We start from the raw sequence: 18,766 nt of genomic DNA, 5'->3' as shown, positions 1-18,766 counted from the left end.
CTAATCCAGGCAGCTGGGAAGGAGATGTGGCCCTAGGGAGGGATGACCGCATACGCCTAAGAGGCAAAGCGAGATGCCCAGGACAGAAGCCAGGGAAAACTGGGAGGCCATGAAACCAGCTGCTCCCCTGAGTGTTTGCAGGGGAAAAACTGAAGCTGAGGAAGATTTAAATCAAGTCTGCAGGAAGCCCAGCAGTGGGACGGGGTCATCCTTACAAGAGTCTGTCTGTGCGCTCCGTCTGAATTCTGTTTAGACAACGGAGCATCAACCTATTTCTCTTCAGTCTTTCCAGCTGGTAAACATGGTCACATAAGCCCCTCTCTGAGCGATGCAGACATTTTTTAGGCAGTGAGTCAGACCTCATGTCTCTTCTTGCTCCTTCAAGAAGCCAAAATAGACTTTCTCAAAGTCGTCACTTCCACGGCCACAAAATGCCTCCTTGTGAATGTTCTCAGTGGAACCCGGGCTTAGCGTCATTTTACCCAGAAACATGAGTGACCGAGGGAAGCCCAACTTAGCAACTTCTGATATTATTTTTAGCACAGGCAAATGCAGGAGGAAGGGAAAAGAGCCTCGAATTTCCTCGCAGGAAACCTATCCTGTTCATTGCTGTCTTCCCCGTTCCCCGTGCCCCCACTGCCCGTACACAGCAGAGGGAACCTGAGGCCAAGGGCAGGGGGCTGGGGAAGTGAGGAGCTCCTGCCTGCCGTTGTAGCAGCAGTGTTAGTGGATGTAATAAAAATCCTGCCACCGTGACTGCTATGATGGGAGTGTCACGAGGAAGGGGACAGGTATGTCAAGTGCTGACTAATGTGCTACCACTTCGCATTAGTTATTTGACGCCGTTCATCTTATTCAATCTTGCGGCCCCGAGAGCGGGCAAAGCCACCCTCCCCTCTTTGCCGAAGAGGAAGCTCAGATCCTGCAGCAACAAAACAGGGGACTCTGCTCCCATGACTTGGCACCTTGTTCCTCAGTTTCCCTCATTTTCCAAATGTCCCTGTAATGGCAGAGACAAGCATATAGAATAGTTGCAGACACTTGTGACATGCTCGTTGCAGGTTGGGATCGGGCTAAGACAACCTCCTTCCTTCAGCCCCGGGCCTGGGCAGTGCAGGCTTCGGGAAGGCCCTGCAGCAACAGGCGACAGCCCCGTTTCCCTTGTTTATTCTGAAACAAGGGCTATTCTAAACCAAGCGCATGTGTTCCAAGACTCTGCATCTGTTCTCAATTCCTCCCGAGGGAAGAGAGGGAGCCTCGTTATGTAAACCAGCGGCAAGGGATTTGCAGCCTGCTTGCACAAGCTCTCCTGCAGAACTCTTTTCTGGAACCCCCGGGGACGTGCCTCCCTTTGCCGCTGCTGTGTGCCCCTGAGGATGAGTCAGTGTCTCCCTCCCAGAGGGCCTCCCAGCTGTCTTTCTGCTCCTCCCTGCTTTATTTGCACAATGCGAGGAGCACAGACTTGCTGCTCACCTCCCAGGGCCAGAGGCGAAGCTGCAGGCCCTTCCTGACCAGGTCTGAAGCACAGGCACGACCTTGGGGTACCTGTGTGTGTCCTGTGCAGGGCACATGTTCTATTCCTTACTATTCCTGTTCTTTCTGCTGCTCCCCCTTAATCATGCTTCTTACCCTTTGGTTTTTCTCCCTACCATATTCCATTTCAAAAGACGTCAAAATGCGGAGTTTTTTAATTACCCTGAAGAAAGTGCATCAAACAGGAAGGGGCTGTGAGAGCCAGTTGCACGCTTATTAAAAACAATAGCTGGAGTTCTGTGCTTATCATATGCAGTGCTGGCTAATCTGCTCACCTCCCTGGTACCCACAGCACCCCATGCATTACGATGATCATTCCCATTCAGCAGAGGAGAGGACGGAGGCTTAGCAAGGTGAGCAGTGGTCTGACTCCAGAGCCCTGAAGCTGCCTCTGCAGCACCGGCTTTCCTTTCCTCAGGCCTCTCATCCACTCCTCTCCCCACCCGGCCCCCTCTGGTCCCCTGGAAGTATTCCCAGAGGCAAATCGCCAGCCAGGCCTCTGCTTGCAAGCAGCAGTTGCTCCAGAAACTGACCTCCAGGCCATCTCTCTCTCGCTCCAGGCACTACCACAGCATGGAGGTGTTCACCCACTATGACCTGCTGAACCTCAATGGCACCAAGGTGGCAGAGGGCCACAAGGCCAGCTTCTGCTTGGAGGACACAGAATGTGAAGGAGGTATCTGAGCGGAGTGGGGGGATGGGAGGCCTCAGAGGGACTCGAATGCCTCTGCCTCCACGATCACCTGGCTGGAGCCCAGGCCTGGCACTGACCCTGTGTCACTCTGACCACTGCCACCTTTCCCCACCTGGACCTTCCTCAGCTATAGTGAGGCGCTGGGGGCATGGGCATGACCTGGTTCCAAGGGCACCCGGATTCCCCAGAGCTGTGCTGACAGGCACTGGTCGGTCCACAGGGCCTCCTGGACAAGATCCAGACTCTGGGGACCCTGCTCCATCTGGGCTTAGCAGCCTAGACCCTGATGCGTATGCCCCTCCCACTCTGGCTGCCACCAACCTTTTTTCTGGTGTCCCAATGCCAAGTGTCCCTACCACACCAGGTGTCACCCTTCAATTATATCTCAAATGCCCTCCTCTGAAGCGCCCCCCCGTCCCGGCAGGTGTGGCACTCTGCTCACACTTCTGGTAGGTCACCACACCTGCCCTGTGATCACCTGTTAGTGCACCTGCAGCCCTGGGGGCTCTTCATGGGGAGACATGTCAGTTCTTCTTGCTAGACCCACTGTTTACAGCAGTGTCCAGGCATGGCAGCTTCTCAGTAAATGCGTGTTTAATTTGTTATTCATTGAAGCGGCCCGCCACTGACTTGCCGTGAAATCACACAGCAGACAGGTGTTGACCTCTTACCATGTGCAGATAACATGTAAGTGTCAGAGAGACATGGGCCTACACTCTAATTGCCGATCCTCCAGAGGAGACAGACAGTATGACCCCCCACGTTTTGCTAAACCACAGGCACCAGAGATTTCCTCGGTCCACACACACGCAGTTATCCCCAGGCTGAGGATGTCACAGAAAGGCCAGGGTGGATCAGAGTGGTCAGGGAGGGCTTCATGGAGGAAGGGGAACTTGAGCCTGGCCTGAGAGAAGAGGCAGGATGTGGGTAGGGAATTGAGTGGGGGGTTCTACTGAAATGAGAACAGATGAGCAGCCCACACAGTGGGGTGGGATGCCGAGCCCAGATGAAGCAGCGGTAGGGGCCTTGGAAGCAGGAAGAGGGTGCGGCAGTGGGGCCATGGTTCCCTGGTGATGAGCTCTCCTCTACCCTGCCCGCAGACATCCAGAAGAATTACGAGTGTGCCAACTTCGGCGATCAGGGCATCACCATGGGCTGCTGGGACATGTACCGCCATGACATCGACTGCCAGTGGGTTGACATCACTGACGTGCCCCCTGGAGACTACCTGTTCCAGGTGAGGTGGGTGGGAAGGGGTTCCAGCCCTGCAGGGGGAGGAGGGGAGGCCACCTCCACAGGCTCCTTCCCATTGGTGTCCACACAGGGGCATGGAAGTCAGGCTGTCTAAAGGGCAAGGTGCTACCCCCAGAGGCCATCACGGTCCATCAGTTAACCCAAAGATATCAGGCATGGGGGCCTGAGAAATAGGGCGTGCACAGGACCAGAGACACCACAGGCATTCACATTTGATTGAGTTAACACCTGGTGCATGCAAATCAAAACTCATCAGCAGGCTAGATTTGCTCCTCCGGCCAGTTTATTCCATACATGCTCAGGCAACCCACACCTCTTGTCTCCTATGGAGCTCTTGTCTCCACCATCCCCATTTCTCCTAGTGCCCTAGGCTGCCTTGGTCTGTGCTTTCAAGACTGAAAGCAAACTCATAAAGAGCCAGTCACTTGCAAATATCTGTGACTTAGCTCTTCCGGAAATATCTGCCTCATAGAGGAGGATCTGCAGAAGGGGCCATTCTCAATGCAAAGTGAATCTATAAGAATAAAATACTGAACACGAGACACAGCCTGGCCAGGTGACTTCTTTGTCAGAGGGGTTGCCGAGATTTGTTTCCACATACTCTGGGTGGAAGGCCAGCCCTGAGGAGGAACAAGGGGGCCTTGGCTTCCCTCCTTCCTGAAAACAGCGGCATGTTCTGGCCAGGGCTCTAACTGGGGGAGAAAAGGGGCATTGTGTCCCTAGTGTCTCTCCCAGTGCACGGGTACACGTAGCCTGCAGAAGCTTTATCTCACCCTCTCACTCTCTCCTACGTCCTCACCCATCTCGTTTTCCAGCTTGCCCTGTTGGCTAGCAAAGTGGATGACCAGAAATGTGTCATTCCACCTTGAAAGCTTTCCTGAGGGGGCATTCAGCCAGCCCAGGGCCTGGCCCACGGTCCCCACCTACAGACAGTCCTCTGAAGAAACAACACCTTCAGAGAAGTCACCACAGAGGGGCTTTCAGAGAATTCCTGGGCAGTTTCAGAGGCTGGAAAGCAGACAGCCAAGCACTTTTCCACCCACAAGCCCAGAACCACAGACTTGGAGAGGCCTAACCAGAGAGTTATTTATTTTAAAAGATGAATAGCCGTGGCCATGTGCACGTATACAGTGCCTGGTGGTTTCTGTTTGAGGTTTGCTATCATTTTGCTGGGTGAGTGTGTATCTCCCTGTATTCTGGCCAGTGCCATCCACTTAATAACTACTATCAATTGCCTAAGCCTGGGGAATGCATTGTTTGATTTAATCTCCCAAGGAAGGGGCATCATCATTACCCTCATTTCACGGCCACCCAACCCCAGACATATCAACTCTTTATTTTGTTTTCTCAACCCCTAAACAATACAATTAGCAAATGGACTCATTAGGGGCATGTTAATACCTCTGATTAATCAAAAAGAACATTCCCCTTAAGATAGACATGGAGCTTCTTTAGGTGCCACAAGCACCGGCCTGGGGACTCACGGGACACAAGAGGTGGTCTTCACTTCAGACATCAGTGGTGCTGTGAAGGACAGGAGGAGGGAGCTGGGCGAGGAGGAAGTGACCGTCCACGCAGAGGGACCTGTGCAGAGCTCAGAGGCAGGGGTGAAGGGGCCTCCTGGCTCCTGGTGGCCCCGCTTTATCCGCTTTCTCATCATTTCCTAGATTCACAGACATACAGAAACCTAAAGCCACTTCCCGCAGGCCCTCGTGAGATGTCGGTCTGCAGTAGATGAGTGGGGTGAAACAGTGGGGGACACACATTTCCAGCCCCGCCTCCACCCCACACGTAACACTGGCCCTCGTGTCCCCAACACGAGCCCTTGCTGCATCCAGCCGCCCTCACGGCTGCACTGTCGAGACGCCTGGGCGGCCAAGGAGCTGCCTAGGCCTGCACAGCTGGAGGCCTTGGCATGTGGAGCTGTGTTTGCCCCATGCCATGTGTGGGCCAGGAACGAGGGGGCAGCTAGAATGGTTGGGTGGAAAAGAAAAAACTCAAGCCGCCCCGGAGCAGGGCATGTACCTCCTTAGCTAAAGGCACAGGGCCCCAGCGGGACACAGCTGAGCCAGGTGCAGGCCCCCAGAACAGCCCCGCTGGGCCAGAGCAGAGGGCCGGCTGCCAGGCTGGCCTTGGCTTCCCACAGCACCTCTTTGGGCAAGCCCAGCGGCCTGCTAAAGGTTCGTGTCCAGGCCCTTCTGGGGCCCCAAATTTAGAGAATGTTCCTGAACGAGCAGCCTGTACCCGCCCCCCTGCTGTGGGTCGCAGCCCTTCCAAATGTGGCAGGACCCTCGAGGGAAGGCCTGTCATCTGTGTCCTCTGCCCCTCTGTTCACCACTGTTGTCTCTTCTCCCTCTCCCTCCCTTTCTCTTTTCTCCTCGGGTCCTCACCGTAAACCTCCCCTTTTCTGTTCCCTCACAGACACTCTCCCAGAATATGTCCTTCCTATTCCTGCTGTAGCTGGGGGGATGCGGATACAGGGGTGGGTGGAAGGATGGGGAGAGGGTGCAACTTCTCCAGCAGCCCCAGAGCCAGGCCCTCGGCCAGCAGAGCAGACAGGGACATGGATCCCCAAGTCCCACCTGTCACTTTACAGAGAGAGGAAGGGACATGTCCACAGTCACACGCCTGTGACGAGTGTCCCATCTCCAACGCCCAGGCAGCCCTCTTCCAGGTTCCCACACCGCCAGGTCCTCCCTGCACCCTTCTGCTTCTCTTCAGCATCTTCTTTTTGGGGCCTCCCCAGACCCCAACTTCTGCCTTCCCCAGAACTCCCAGGAGTGGGTGACCCCCTTCCGAAGGCCCACCCTGGGTAGAGGGGTGTGTGTTACACGGATATGGACAGAGGGCAGGGTTTCCCTCTTCCAGGCCATGCTTCCTCTGCTCCCTGACTCATCTCTTCCCCTCCCCAAGGACTTTGTTGAGACCCACAGACCCCCGTCTTGGGTCCCGGCACCTGCCACGCTCCCCTTCCCTGAGGTGCTGGTCTCTCAGAGCCCCAGGCCTGGGTGGAGGTGGCCGCAGAGGGAACAAGCAGCCTCCTCTGCCCTGCTTCTCCCTAGGTTGTTATTAACCCCAACTTCGAGGTTGCAGAATCCGATTACTCCAACAACATCATGAAATGCAGGAGCCGCTATGACGGCCACCGCATCTGGATGTACAACTGCCACATAGGTAAGGCCAGGCCGCCCCCACTCCAGGAAGCAGGCGGGAGCTGCCCTACTTTCTCAAGGACCCAGAGGCAGCTTCCTAATTTGGGTAAAGAGCTCGGGGAATGCAGCCAGCATCACATTTCCACATTCAGGACAGAAGCCACAGACACACAGGCCTGGATGGAGACTGAGTTTTTACAGCCAGCTCCGGCCACGGATAGAGGATGGTACAGGACCAGGCCAGCCCAGTGCAGACCCCAAGGCTTTTTAAGGGTTGGAGCTGAGGCCACTGGCTCATTATGTATGTGACCTCAAAAATGTGGGCATCAGCAATCTGTGGGCTCTGCCTATCAGGTTTTTCTGTCGAGAGCTGGAAGCTAGCAAACTACTGTTATTTCTAGTCTCCAATAAAGACACTTTTTTCCTTGGATGATAGGACTTGGGGAACAAAAGGGAAGGCAGAGCTTTTTCCTCTGCAGGAAAAGTCATGGGCCTCACTCTTGGCAAAAGGTTAAAATTAAAGGCGCTATATTTATTCACTCGTTCACTCAACTTTGACAGAGCACCTGCTATGTGCCCAGCCCTAGAGATGGCCAGTGCCTGGCACCTGTCCTTTTGAGGAGGGCACACACAGGTGGCCCCAGCAGCCCCTGAGGCCCACTCCCCTGGCTCAGGGTCAGGCAAGGCCCGAGCATCTCATTTGTCCACTCTCTCTACCCGATTCTCGCTCTTCAGGTGGTTCCTTCAGCGAAGAGACGGAAAAAAAGTTTGAGCACTTCAGCGGGCTCTTAAACAACCAGCTGTCCCCGCAGTAAAGAAGCCTGCGTGGTCAACTCCTGTCTTCAGGCCACACCACATCTTCCATGGGACTTCCCCCCAACAACTGAGTCTGAACGAATGCCACGTGCCCTCACCCAGCCCGGCCCCCACCCTGTCCAGACCCCTACAGCTGTGTCTAAGCTCAGGAGGAAAGGGACCCTCCCATCATTCATGGGGGGCTGCTACCTGACCCTTGGGGCCTGAGAAGGCCTTGCGGGGGTGGGGTTTGTCCACAGAGCTGCTGGAGCAGCACCAAGAGCCAGTCTTGACCGGGATGAGGCCCACAGACAGGTTGTCATCAGCTTGTCCCATTCAAGCCACCGAGCTCACCACAGACACAGTGGAGCCGCGCTCTTCTCCAGTGACACGTGGACAAATGCGGGCTCATCAGCCCCCCCAGAGAGGGTCAGGCCGAACCCCATTTCTCCTCCTCTTAGGTCATTTTCAGCAAACTTGAATATCTAGACCTCTCTTCCAATGAAACCCTCCAGTCTATTATAGTCACATAGATAATGGTGCCACGTGTTTTCTGATTTGGTGAGCTCAGACTTGGTGCTTCCCTATCCACAGCCCCCACCCCTTGTTTTTCAAGATACTATTATTATATTTTCACAGACTTTTGAAGCACAAATTTATTGGCATTTAATATTGGACATCTGGGCCCTTGGAAGTACAAATCTAAGGAAAAACCAACCCACTGTGTAAGTGACTCATCTTCCTGTTGTTCCAATTCTGTGGGTTTTTGATTCAACGGTGCTATAACCAGGGTCCTGGGTGACAGGGCGCTCACTGAGCACCATGTGTCATCACAGACACTTACACATACTTGAAACTTGGAATAAAAGAAAGATTTATGAAACGTGTCTGTGTTTCCTTTGACCCACAGCACCTGGGCCCTGAGCAGCAGGCTTCCTATGTTCAGTGGCCAGAAGCAGAGCTTCAGGTACATTCGTGGTTTTCTCCGGTGGACATGGGTCCTCAGATCCCCTCCAGCCCAGTGTGGCCACCAGGGCACCTCCTTCAATAGACTCCAAAAGGGGCAGCTCCTACCATCTGGGAGAAGCAATCTAAGGAGATCACAAAAAGTAACGGAACAGGAGTCATAATCTTTCTTGAACTCCTGTGGTTTTTACTGAAACTTGTCAGAAGGCATAGGAGTTGTGCGAGGGCTGGATGGGAAGTCTAGATTTAAACAACAGCCACCAGGCAGCTTATCAAAGCAAGAGGGCATCCGTTCACAGGACAGGGGCTCCCAGCAATTCCCAGTGGCAGTGGGGGGGTGGCTGGCCCATGCGACTCACCCAGACACAGGGGACTTCCCCTTGTGTCAACAGCATGCTAGGGCCCAGCAAACTAGAGGGTAGGTAGGACCACCTTGGCACCAACTCCACTCAAACCACAATTGAATGAGGGCGTCGGCACGCATTCAGATCTCACCTCTTGCCTTTGTTTACATTTATTTTGCAGGAACTGGCACTGACTGACAGGTAAGACCAGGACCAGCCCAGGGGTCCCAGAACTGTCCCACAGCACAGGCCAGAAGGCTGGATACCTGAACTGCCAAAGGAGTGTGGGCAGGTGCTACACAGCAGGTGCAACCCAGCTCCCAAAATTGGGCAGGCTGTGCACAGAGGCCCTGCAGGCCCAGTGGGGATCCTCCCGGCTAAGCTCAAGTGACCTTCCTTCAGCAGCTGCCCACCTGCACTGCAAGGTGGAATAGCACCCCCTAGCGTCCCCTACAGACCACATTTCAAAGTGATCACATTAGAACAACGTGAGTTTTTATTTTTTCTCCATTTCTGGGACTAAACTAAAGCCCACCACACCCCATGGTGAAGCTCGAGGGTGGTGCGGGGCTGCTCTGGCGTCTGTGAAGGCTTATGGTGTTGGGGGCGCCAGCTACGTCGGGACGCAGATCCAGGCCAGTTGGGTCTCCAGGCCTCAGGGCGGCAGCGGACCCCGGACAGCAGGCCGCTCTTTCTTTTTGTGTTGGAGTCCCAGGGCCCGGGCCACCAGCCGCCGGGCCACAGTCGCATTTGTCTGTGGCCTCTCCTTCACCAGACGCAGGAGTTCTAGAAGGAAAGCCCCACAGTGGGGACCTAAACACAAGGTCGTGGCTGCCTCTCCCCCAGCAACACAGCAGCCGTACAAGCCATCAGAGCCAGCCTCTCATGTGACACATGTGGGGCCTCGGCCCAGCTGTGCCCGTGGTGTGGCCGGATGCTCATGAGAGGGGGCCAACTTAGGGATCCTGGCCCCCCAGGGGATGCTGACCCAAACTTGTCGCCTCTACATGCCCTTGTTTCTCTGTCTCTACAGTGAGGGGGCTGAGGGGTTCATCCTGCACACCTCCCTGCTTTTTAGGGTCCTTTGGGAGGGGTATCAAGTCAGGATGGAACACCCAGAGCTCACAGACCTACGGACAGGATATTTATTGTTCCAAGAAACCCTGGACCATGTTGGCTACGTAACCACCCACGAGAGCACAGCTGGCCTCGGCAGGCCTCTTGCAGGTCCATTTTACTAGTTACTACTTTGAAGTCATGGAAAACTCGTGTCTAAAATCTCTCACCATGGTTTCTGGAAGTAGAAGGGGAAAAGGAGGCGCTATAACGGTTATCTGGTACCTTCTATGTGCCCTCAGGGCTCCAGGCAGGTATGCCAGGCTCTCATTCAATCCTTCAGACTGAAGAGTCTGCTTATTTTACAGAAGAAGAAACCAACTCACACACTGAGTGACTTCCTCAGTGTCACTGAGACCAACTGAAGTAACTGACAGAGCCATTTGGGGGTCCCGGAGCGGACCCCAAAGCCCAGGCCCTTCCCGGCCCTATGGGATACGGTTTCCAGGGCCCTCCAGAAGAAGGACCAAGCTTTTCCCTGTGCCCAGAAGAGGGTATGAGCAGGAGAGCCTCCCTGCACAGCAGCTGGCAGACGCCACTCCCCAAGGGAGACCCCTGCCCCAGACCCCCCCTAGGCCTGCTAGGGAGGGGGAACACAGCCCCACTGGCTACTGCAGCCCAGGGCTCCCTAAGAGCAGAGAAGTCAAGCGGGAAGAATTAACAGAGGGGAAGACCCTGCCCAAACCAGACACACACACACGCACACACACACATGCTCGCACGCACACACACACACACAGCCTCCCTATTCAGGGACATGCGCTTTCCTTACTTGGCCTCTGCAAGGCTTTGAGCTTTGACTGCTTGGTTCCCTGTGTGAGGGGCCGGATCTTGAGCACCGAGAACTCCCGGGTCAGGGCTTCCGCAGCTGTGGAAAGAAAGCAGGCGTGGAGCCACTCCCTCCTCCTCAGGACCCCGCGGCACACCCACCACCCCGAACCCCTGCAGCCGTGTTGTGCACCTATTCAAAGCTCAGGGCAGGGCTGCTCCGACACCGCCCTGGATGGGCAAGAGACGACTGCCGCCTGCTTGCCTCATCCCCCAGAGCCCCACAGGCCCGCACAGGGACACCTGCGCTCAGAGGACACTCCCACCCCAGGCTGGTCAGGGAGAGCACTGGGGAGGCTGTGATTCTGACATCAGAAGAGGCGGGCTCCCAGTTTCCAAAGCCCCAGGGCTAAACACAACCTCTCCCCCTTTCACCACTCAAGACCCTCCAGGGAACATGCGTTCACTGCCCTGAGTCATGCCTGGTGTTGCAGCACCCCGACTATTTACAGAGTATGGCAGAGCAGAGCTGGGAGAGGCTTCAGGTCCAAGCTGCCCACTGTTCTACAGAAGAGGAAACTGAAGCAAGGGAACCTGCTCTCACCATAGTCTGTGGAGATCAGAACGCCATGGCCAACCCCAGCCACAGCTCATTCCTCTCGCAGCACAGGGCAGCCTCTTGGCCTCCCTCCCTGCCTTCCTTTCCACAATCTCCCTCTCTGGGGTTTGAGACCCCACCCTGCCCTGTTCCCTCCCTAAATGCTGCCAGGGCCCTCCCTCCTGAGGACTGGGCCCCAGCAGCAATGGCGCTCCCAGGCCCCAGCTCGGGTTTTCAGAAGGCTGTTTCTGGGAAGACCAGTAAAGGGGGCGTGGCGCGGGTAACTATAAATTATACCAAATGTAAGCACGGTGGTGTGGCAGGGCAATGCAGGCAAGTGACTGAGGGAGACAGGAGCACTGGAGTCATGAGGCAGTGTGGTGCCCCGAGCTGTGACACTGAGAGGCTGTGTAACTTGGAGTGTACCCCTGACACTCTGGGACCCTTAAGTCTCTCCAGCTGTACAATGGAGGTAACCTGACCTACATCTTGAGGCTGAAGCGAAAATCGAGTAAGAATGTGTCTACTTGAACCACATGAAATCTCCAGAATTCAAATGCTTTTGGCCGTTAAAGCAGCACTTTGCTGTGGTTTCATTTAACACAGGGACATCCGTTGGGCTTGGCTCACGACCTTCCTCAGCAAAGGTCGCCTGAATCTGATGCCTTTTCATTGAAAGCACTAACACAATAGGAAGGGCTTCTTCATTAAGGCGCATTACTATGGGCCAGAGACCGCTCAGCTCCCCCTGGGTTTTAGGCTGGGAACAAAACCCCCAGAGCCTACTGGCTCAGCTGAGCCTGCGCCCAGGAGATGGTGGCCTCTACCCAGGGAACCAAGGGTCCTCCCTCTCAACAGGGATCCGAGCAAGGGCTGGGCCCACTGGGGGTGCCTTACCTGAGGCCAGGCAGGGAAAGATGCCGAGTGCGTGAGTATCATCCACCCACTGAATCCTGAACCCCTTCTCTCTGTGCGGCGAGAGAGGAGACAGCACATTCAGGAAAGCAAGCAGTCAAACTCCTCTTCGAATCCCGCAGCCACACCCCCTCGCCTCCAGCCCGCAGATGCCACCAGCCTGAGGCAAGGTCCCATCTCTTCTGGGACGGAGACAATCATTTGCAGCAAATTTCCTCTGAAGCCCATATGGTTGGCTTCAGAAAGACAAATGTCACTCCTGTCAATGTCAGGCAGGTCACCAGTTTCTAGAACTAAAGAAGCCAGGACTCAAAGAGCTCATATGGCACGACACCAAGGAGGAAGAGACTCTTCACCAGGCCTGTCTCAGCCCAGCCAAGGCCATGGTGTCTGAGGCTGGGGAAGAAAGGGTTTCTGTGGTGGGGGAGGGGTATAGGACCTCAAACCAGCAGGGCCACCATGCTCCTGTCAGCTTTATTCCTATTGCTCAGGAAGGTGCCACCTACCCTGCAGCTTGTGAGAGGCCTAAGGCAGTGTGGCCCCACCCGGGCAGAGAAAGGCACAGCGGCCCCAGCCTGGCTGCACCATCAAGGTAGAGAACAGAAGAGCAGAACGTGTTGCCCCTAGCCACCCCTTCGGCTCTCCTGCTCAGGAGCAGAGCACAGCGGAAGGCTTTAGGAAGCAGAGTTAACAAGGGCCACGTGGAAAGGGGTTTCTTTTTGTTTTTATTTTTATTTTTTTTGAGAGGGAGTCTCGCACTGTCACCCAGGCTGAAGTGCAGTGGCACAATCTCGGCTCACTACAAGCTCCACCTCCCGGGTTCACACCATTCTCCTGCCTCAGCCTCCCGAGTAGCTGGGACTACAGGCGCCTGCCACCACGCCCAGCTAATTTTATTTTTTTGTATTTTTAGTAGAGACAGGCAGGGTTTCACCATATTAGCCAGGTTGGTCTCGATCTCCTGACCTCATGATCCGCCCTCCTCAGCTTCCCAAAGTGCTGGGATTACAGGCGTGAGCCACCGTGCCCAGCCACAGAAAGGGGTTTCTAAAAGCCTAGGCAGAGCTGGGCACGGTGGCACATGCCTGTAGTCCCAGCTACTTGGGAGACGAAGGTGGGAGGATCACTTGAGCCCAGGAGGTTGAGGCTGCAGCAAGCTGTGATCGTACCACTGCACCCCTGCCTGGACAAAAGAGCAAGATCCTGTCTCAAAAAAAAAGAGGAGAAAGAAAGCCTGAGCAGGAACAAAGAAGGGGAAGGGGAGAAGGCAAAATGAGAAAAAAAAGGAAAAGAAAAAAGAAGGAAAGACAGGAGGGTGGATCTAAAGGCATGTGGGGAAGCTGAGGAGGAGGGAAGTCGTGTCTCTCAATACAGCCTCTGGCCACCATTCCGACCTCCACTCTGCCCCAGCAGGCTGCTCAGTGCACCCTAGAAACAGTTCCCACATGGAGCTGGCCCGTAGCCTGCTGGAGACACACTGAGCAGCCGCTGGGAGGCAGGCAAGAGGAGAAGAGGAGGCTGCCATGTCCCTTGAGACTGAGGGAGGGCGCATGGCATCCTGGCAGGCGTGTGGCCATGCAGGGGGGCAGCCCAGGTCTAGGGCCTGCAGGGTGTGTCTACAACCAACAAATCAGTGCTCTCTTTCCCGAGGGACGGCCGGCAGGGAGAACTGCCCAGGAATACAGAGCCCAGGCAACACACCCACTTTCTGTCTCTCTTGCTGAAGCATTAGGCACTGGGTGTGGGGCAGGCAAGCACCCCCAGCTACAGAGAAGTATCTTAGCTCCTCTCTGAAGGCAGCACCTCCCCAGCCACCACTCACTGGAACTCAGAAAACGTTGCCAGCAGGTCCTCCGTCTTGAGCGCTGGTTCAAAGTCATAGATCTCTACCACGTGGGCAAGGTCCTTCTCTCCAGGCAGCTCCTCCACGAAGGAGGATGTGTCCAAATGGATCTTCTCTATCTGAATCTCCTTCTTCGTCAGGTTGTCTGTGATCTAGGAGAGATCGGACCCTTAGCAAGGGGAGCTTGGACACGCAGAGCTCCCAAACCACTAGCCCACGCGCTGAGAGCTCTGCAGGGAGAAGGGGCCCACCTGGCAAAAGTCTGGGAAAGGCAGCAGCAGGCAGACTGGGCTGCAAGGTCAAGACGTCAAGACGCATGGGTTTTACGGGAGGGCACTTACTTGTATGGAGTCCCCACTAAGTGACTGGCAATTACACACATAATGTTCCATAGAATCCTGAAAACTATATTTTAGAAAGCTGTTTTACAGATGGGGAAACTGAAGGCCCAAGAGTTAAGTAATTTTTCCCAAAGTGCAAAGTCAGTAAGAGGCAGAGCTGGGCAAGTCCAAGAACTTTCCCTCCTCTACTAGTGATGTGATATTTGGCAGGTCTGTGGTCTGCATTCTTCATGTATAAAATAGCCATAAAAGATGCCACCCTCCCAACTGAACCCACAGCCAGTCTCAGGGGCAGTCGCACGGTCCCAAGAAAACAAGATTTATAAGATAAAACTTCAGGCTAAAGAGTAATTTCCATGACTGGCATCCGTAACACAAGACGATGTACTTGCACACAGAGTCCATCTCCATGACCTAGTGAAGGCTGTATTATCAACTGGTTTTAGTTTCAGATGAGGAAACTGAGACTCAGCCAAACAAAATAACTTGCCCAGGGTCAAGCAGCTCCTACATGGCTGGGCTGGGACCCAAATCCACACCTCATCTCCTGAGTTCCCTAAGGAATCCCTGTCACCCAACACCCAGCCCTACCTCCCCTTGCACATCCCCTGCTCTCCACACCATAACCCTTGGTCCCCATCCACCCACGGCCACACCCACCTCACCTCCGCCCTCCCTTTTCGGGCTCAAGAGCCTCATCACCTCCTGCAGCAGCTCACTGTAATCGTCCTCCGAGCAGCTGCTGGGGCCATCCTCTTCCACCTCCTCTTCGTCCTCTTCCTCCTCTGCCACCAGCCTCTTCTCCAACAGACTCTCCTTCCCCTTTTCCAGGTCTAGCTGCAGGGTGGACCCAAACCGTGTGGCCATCTCCACCATGTCTCCCTTCCCTGACTGACTCTCAGGCCCCAGAGGCTCAGGGCCAACAGGGTCCAGCAGTGGCTCATTCTCACACCTTTGTCCTGGGCCCTTTAGGTCCTCTGTTCCCTGAGTCATCAGCACAGGGAGTCCCTGATCAGAGTTGGGGTCTCCAGCACCAACATCTCCAGGCTCTTCTGGGTCCCTGCCAGCTGGGGCCTCTCTCTTGAGCACCGAGGTAGAGGTCAGCCCCCATTCTTCCTGCCTGCGCAGCACCCGGGGCACATACAAAGGCTGGTCAGGCTTGCGTCCACGATACCACCGGCCAGCCCGGGCACCTCGGGGAACCGCAGCTGCTCCTTGGTTGGAGATGGGCCGAGGACCGTGGTACCTGCTGGGGCAGGAGGCAGGAGCGCGGCAGGGGCCAGAGAGGCCATCCGAACTGGGTACCCTGGAGCAGGAATGGGAGGAGGTAATCAGAGTGTGTAGGGGCCCAAAGGAAAATGATTTACTAGAGCCACTTGTCATTCAGGAGAGACATTCGGGTCAGCATTAGGCAAAAACCACAGCCAAAATGACCCTCGAAAATCCCTTAGGAAGGCATCACAGTGGAGGCTGTCACTTTTGCATGAGCCCAGAGCAGCCAGCTTGCCCTCTAGTGCTGTGATCCAAATTAGAGATCAGTCCATCTTCAGTTACACACCAGGGGAGGTAAGCTCTTGCATTTAAGAAGTATGCTATCAGAAAAACATGTCACTTCAAACACTAGGATCACAGTCATTAAAGTAAGATGCTCACTGAGACGCACATGGGAACAGAGGGGACCGAAGCCCAGCAGGTGCTTTTCTGGTCTCTGTGGGACACAAGCTCACTGAGAGGAATGCTAGGGAGGCCCCCCGCCACACACCCACTACTTAAACAGATCTCTCTCTCTCTTTTGGCCCAACCATATAGCTGATTTTGCCAAGTGAATTCCACAAACTGCATATCTGCTCCACTGTTGATGCAAAAGGCAGCCCTGGCTGAGCAGCTGCAGCTAGGAATGGCAGCAGCCGGGGGTCCCAGCCCTGGTTCCCCCCAGCCCTGCCCTTCCAAAGGCTGACCAGCTAGCTGGCCACCCACACACCACCGCTGCAGGCACTTCAAGGTGGGAGGCTACACACCTGATGTCCTGGTGACAGATGACCGTCCTCCTCTTCCAGCCCTCCCCAACGGAGAAGCTGCTCAAGAGATCAAAATTCTCTGCTGTTCTATGGATCAGGTACCGGAGGCGACTGGAGAGTGGGGGGAAAAGAAGAACCCTGGGGAGGGAGGGGAAGAAGTGCTGAGCAGGTGTCCAGGGCCTGGCCCCTACCAGGTCCACTCCCAGGTTAATCGCGGATTAACACTGGGCTCCCTTCTGCCCCTCTGGGTCCCAGATGGACTGCAAAGGATCTGAGCATAGATAGAGGTGATCGCAGGGACCCACAGGTCCCATCCCCAATCCCTGTGCCGGGCCCCATCAGTCTGGGGGTGATGCTCACAATTACAAAGATGCAGCTAAAAGAGGCAGCTGGCGTTATAAAGACTAAAGGCCAAGGTCAGAGCCAGCTGCCAGGCACCACCTGGGGGAGGGCACACAGGCGGCTCGGGAACCCTGCCCTTCCCAGCAAGGCGGCACCCTCGCCCCTCACATGAGCCTACTTTGACAGCTGCTTCTGCAGCAGAAAGCGGTCCAGTTCCTCCTGGATCCGGTGGACGAAGTCATTCTCGGCTGAGGAGAGGAAGACACCATCCAAGCAGAGAAGGGCCAGGGTGACAGGTGGGAGAGCCTGTAAGAGAGACGGGCAGGGCCGGGAATCAGAGCACAGACCCCCGGATCTCCCGCGACCCCGCAACGCCGGCACCGAAAGGGCCTTAGAAACCCTCTGGTCCAAGGCTCGGTGGCGGGGAAGTGATGCCAGGGACCCCCGGCAAGTCAGGGGTCAGGGAAGGGGTCTCCTGGCTCCTGCCCAAGGCTCTCGTCCCCGCCTGCGGTCGGATGCTGAGGGTGGCTCCACACCCTGCGCTGCGCTCCTTCCCGGGGCTCACGGGGGCCTGCTCCGCGCAGCCCAGCTGCTCCTTCCCACCCGGGAGCCCGGGGGTCGGGACGACCACCCCCCCAGTGCTGCTGCACTCACCGCGGCCTCTCGGCGCGTCGCAGCCGCCCTCGGCGTCCCCAGGGGCCAGCGCGCCCGAGCGCCCTAGAGAGACCCGGGCCGCTGCAGAGACGCAGCGCCACCGCGCGGCCTGGGGGAGGTAACGCAGGAACGGGAGAGTGCGTGTTCTTGTCACCTATTGGGAGGGGGCGCACCTGCCACCAACACAAACCGCTTCTCCTAGAGTGACACGACTAGCTTTCATATTCATGGCAAAACCGAGACCCAGACAGGTGAAATAACTTGCCTCAAGTTGCACAGATGGTACATTCTAGAGTCTTACTTTGAGCAAAGATAGGTCTGATTCCAAGATGGGCTCTTTTCTTTTTTTCTTCCATGTTGGCACAGTCTTGTAAGATCAATTAAGTTCAACAAACACTTTTGTTCAGCTACTATTAGGTTGGTGCAAAGTAATTGTGGTTTTGCTAATAAGTAAAAAACCGCAATTACTTTTGCACCAACCTAATAGCACTGTAAGCTAGCTAACGGCGGTGCTAGGGTTTCCCATTCATTGTTCCCCTCCCCAGGGACCTAACAGAGGAATAAAGAGGAAGGAAGTTTCTGAGCACCAGATATTTCAGCACTGTTGCCCATCATTGCCCTTCCTTCTCCCGCATTGATGTAACCTGTAAAAAGGTCTAATTCACACCACAGTGGCACTGACAAGGCGTGGTAGCCTTGTGGGTTACTGGGTTGGGCAGCCACTATCACGGTGATTTGCAGCTCAGCAGCTTGTGCTACTCTGCTCCATCCAGAAATAATTCTAGCGTCCACCTTAAATGGGGCTTAAAATTCTTGCCATCAGACAGCCTGTGGGATGGATGATTATAATCTAGGAGACCAGGGTTGAAATCGTTCTGCTCCCTGAAAGTAATTAAAATGCAGTCCCTTGGTCACTCTGAATCCGGAAGCACTGACCTAAGGGCACTTAAGACCTAGGTTTTGGTCAGGGGTGGGGCAGTCTGAGTGGGCTCTGACATAAAGCACAGGCGGGATGGGGGAGGGAGGGCTGTCCCTCAAAAAGCTGACTGGGAGAAGTGGCTTGGGGATGGAGAAATGGAGAAAAAATTAGATGCATTTTGCTGTCTCACAATTTTTTCCAACGCATTTCTAAAAATGACAGTGGCATTATATTATATTACAAAACCTATCTTTCCAGATACCCAGCAAGAAGAATAAAAAATGACCTAGAATAAAGACAAAACCAAAATGCAGAGAGAACTCAGGGAGCTGAGTCATGAATTTCCTTTCTGGGCATGGTTGTGAGAGGAGTTTCGGGAGATCTGACAGGTCCCCAGTCCCTAGACTGGAGGGCATTCAACTCCTGGGGAAAAAGGATGAGCAGAGAGCACCCGTTTGGATTCTGGTTCCACCAGCCCTACCCACACTCCATGCTGGCTTAATGGAAGTGGGAG

At 55.1% G+C, this 18,766-nt stretch overlaps 2 protein-coding genes across 4 annotated transcripts in view, besides 4 other annotated features; one reads left to right on the top strand and one right to left on the bottom strand.

Moving 5' to 3' along the window:
- LOXL2 (lysyl oxidase like 2) overlaps positions 1–8,594 on the top strand; it is a 107,224-nt gene extending 98,630 nt beyond the window's left edge. The window contains exons 11-14 of the mRNA NM_002318.3: positions 2,094–2,209; positions 3,328–3,464; positions 6,544–6,655; positions 7,369–8,594. Of these exons, the coding sequence (NP_002309.1) occupies positions 2,094–2,209; positions 3,328–3,464; positions 6,544–6,655; positions 7,369–7,448 (445 nt within the window). The 3' untranslated portion in view covers positions 7,449–8,594. The remainder of the gene's footprint in view (positions 1–2,093; positions 2,210–3,327; positions 3,465–6,543; positions 6,656–7,368) is intronic.
- Positions 2,909–3,409: an enhancer, noted in NCBI's record as "H3K4me1 hESC enhancer chr8:23159595-23160095 (GRCh37/hg19 assembly coordinates)". NCBI's record gives its function as "activates a minimal SCP1, AML or CMV promoter by ChIP-STARR-seq in primed H9 embryonic stem cells {active_cell/tissue: H9 hESC(primed)}" and the evidence as "EXISTENCE:reporter gene assay evidence [ECO:0000049][PMID:30033119]".
- Positions 3,410–3,910: an enhancer, noted in NCBI's record as "H3K4me1 hESC enhancer chr8:23159094-23159594 (GRCh37/hg19 assembly coordinates)". NCBI's record gives its function as "activates a minimal SCP1, AML or CMV promoter by ChIP-STARR-seq in primed H9 embryonic stem cells {active_cell/tissue: H9 hESC(primed)}" and the evidence as "EXISTENCE:reporter gene assay evidence [ECO:0000049][PMID:30033119]".
- Positions 9,094–9,193: an enhancer, noted in NCBI's record as "active region_27115". NCBI's record gives its function as "activates an Ori minimal core promoter by ATAC-STARR-seq in GM12878 lymphoblastoid cells {active_cell/tissue: GM12878}" and the evidence as "EXISTENCE:reporter gene assay evidence [ECO:0000049][PMID:35858748]".
- Positions 9,212–17,399, bottom strand: R3HCC1 (R3H domain and coiled-coil containing 1). 3 transcript variants are annotated; one of them, NR_125897.1, is made up of 9 exons: positions 17,334–17,399; positions 16,858–16,985; positions 16,338–16,475; positions 15,272–15,625; positions 15,022–15,156; positions 13,958–14,130; positions 12,118–12,188; positions 10,627–10,722; positions 9,212–9,524 (listed from the first exon to the last, which is right to left on the bottom strand). NR_125897.1 is itself a non-coding variant. In NM_001301650.2 (9 exons), the coding sequence occupies exons 2-9, from the start codon at positions 16,965–16,967 to the stop codon at positions 9,394–9,396; spliced, it is 1,197 nt and encodes a 398-aa protein (NP_001288579.1). In that variant the 5' UTR covers positions 16,968–16,985; positions 17,334–17,383; the 3' UTR covers positions 9,212–9,393. The 3 variants fall into 3 exon arrangements, 2 of the variants coding, with proteins under 2 accessions (NP_001288579.1, NP_001129580.2); NM_001301650.2 differs by having other exon boundaries at positions 15,022–15,439; positions 15,566–15,625; positions 17,334–17,383; NM_001136108.3 differs by having other exon boundaries at positions 15,022–15,625; positions 17,334–17,383.
- Positions 17,153–17,362: a silencer, noted in NCBI's record as "silent region_19023". NCBI's record gives its function as "represses an Ori minimal core promoter by ATAC-STARR-seq in GM12878 lymphoblastoid cells {active_cell/tissue: GM12878}" and the evidence as "EXISTENCE:reporter gene assay evidence [ECO:0000049][PMID:35858748]".

This window comes from Homo sapiens, chromosome 8 (assembly GCF_000001405.40).
Source record: "Homo sapiens chromosome 8, GRCh38.p14 Primary Assembly".
Lineage (NCBI taxonomy): Eukaryota > Metazoa > Chordata > Mammalia > Primates > Hominidae > Homo > Homo sapiens.
Note: the sequence above shows the minus strand (reverse complement) of the source record. Positions and strands in the feature narration are given on the sequence as shown.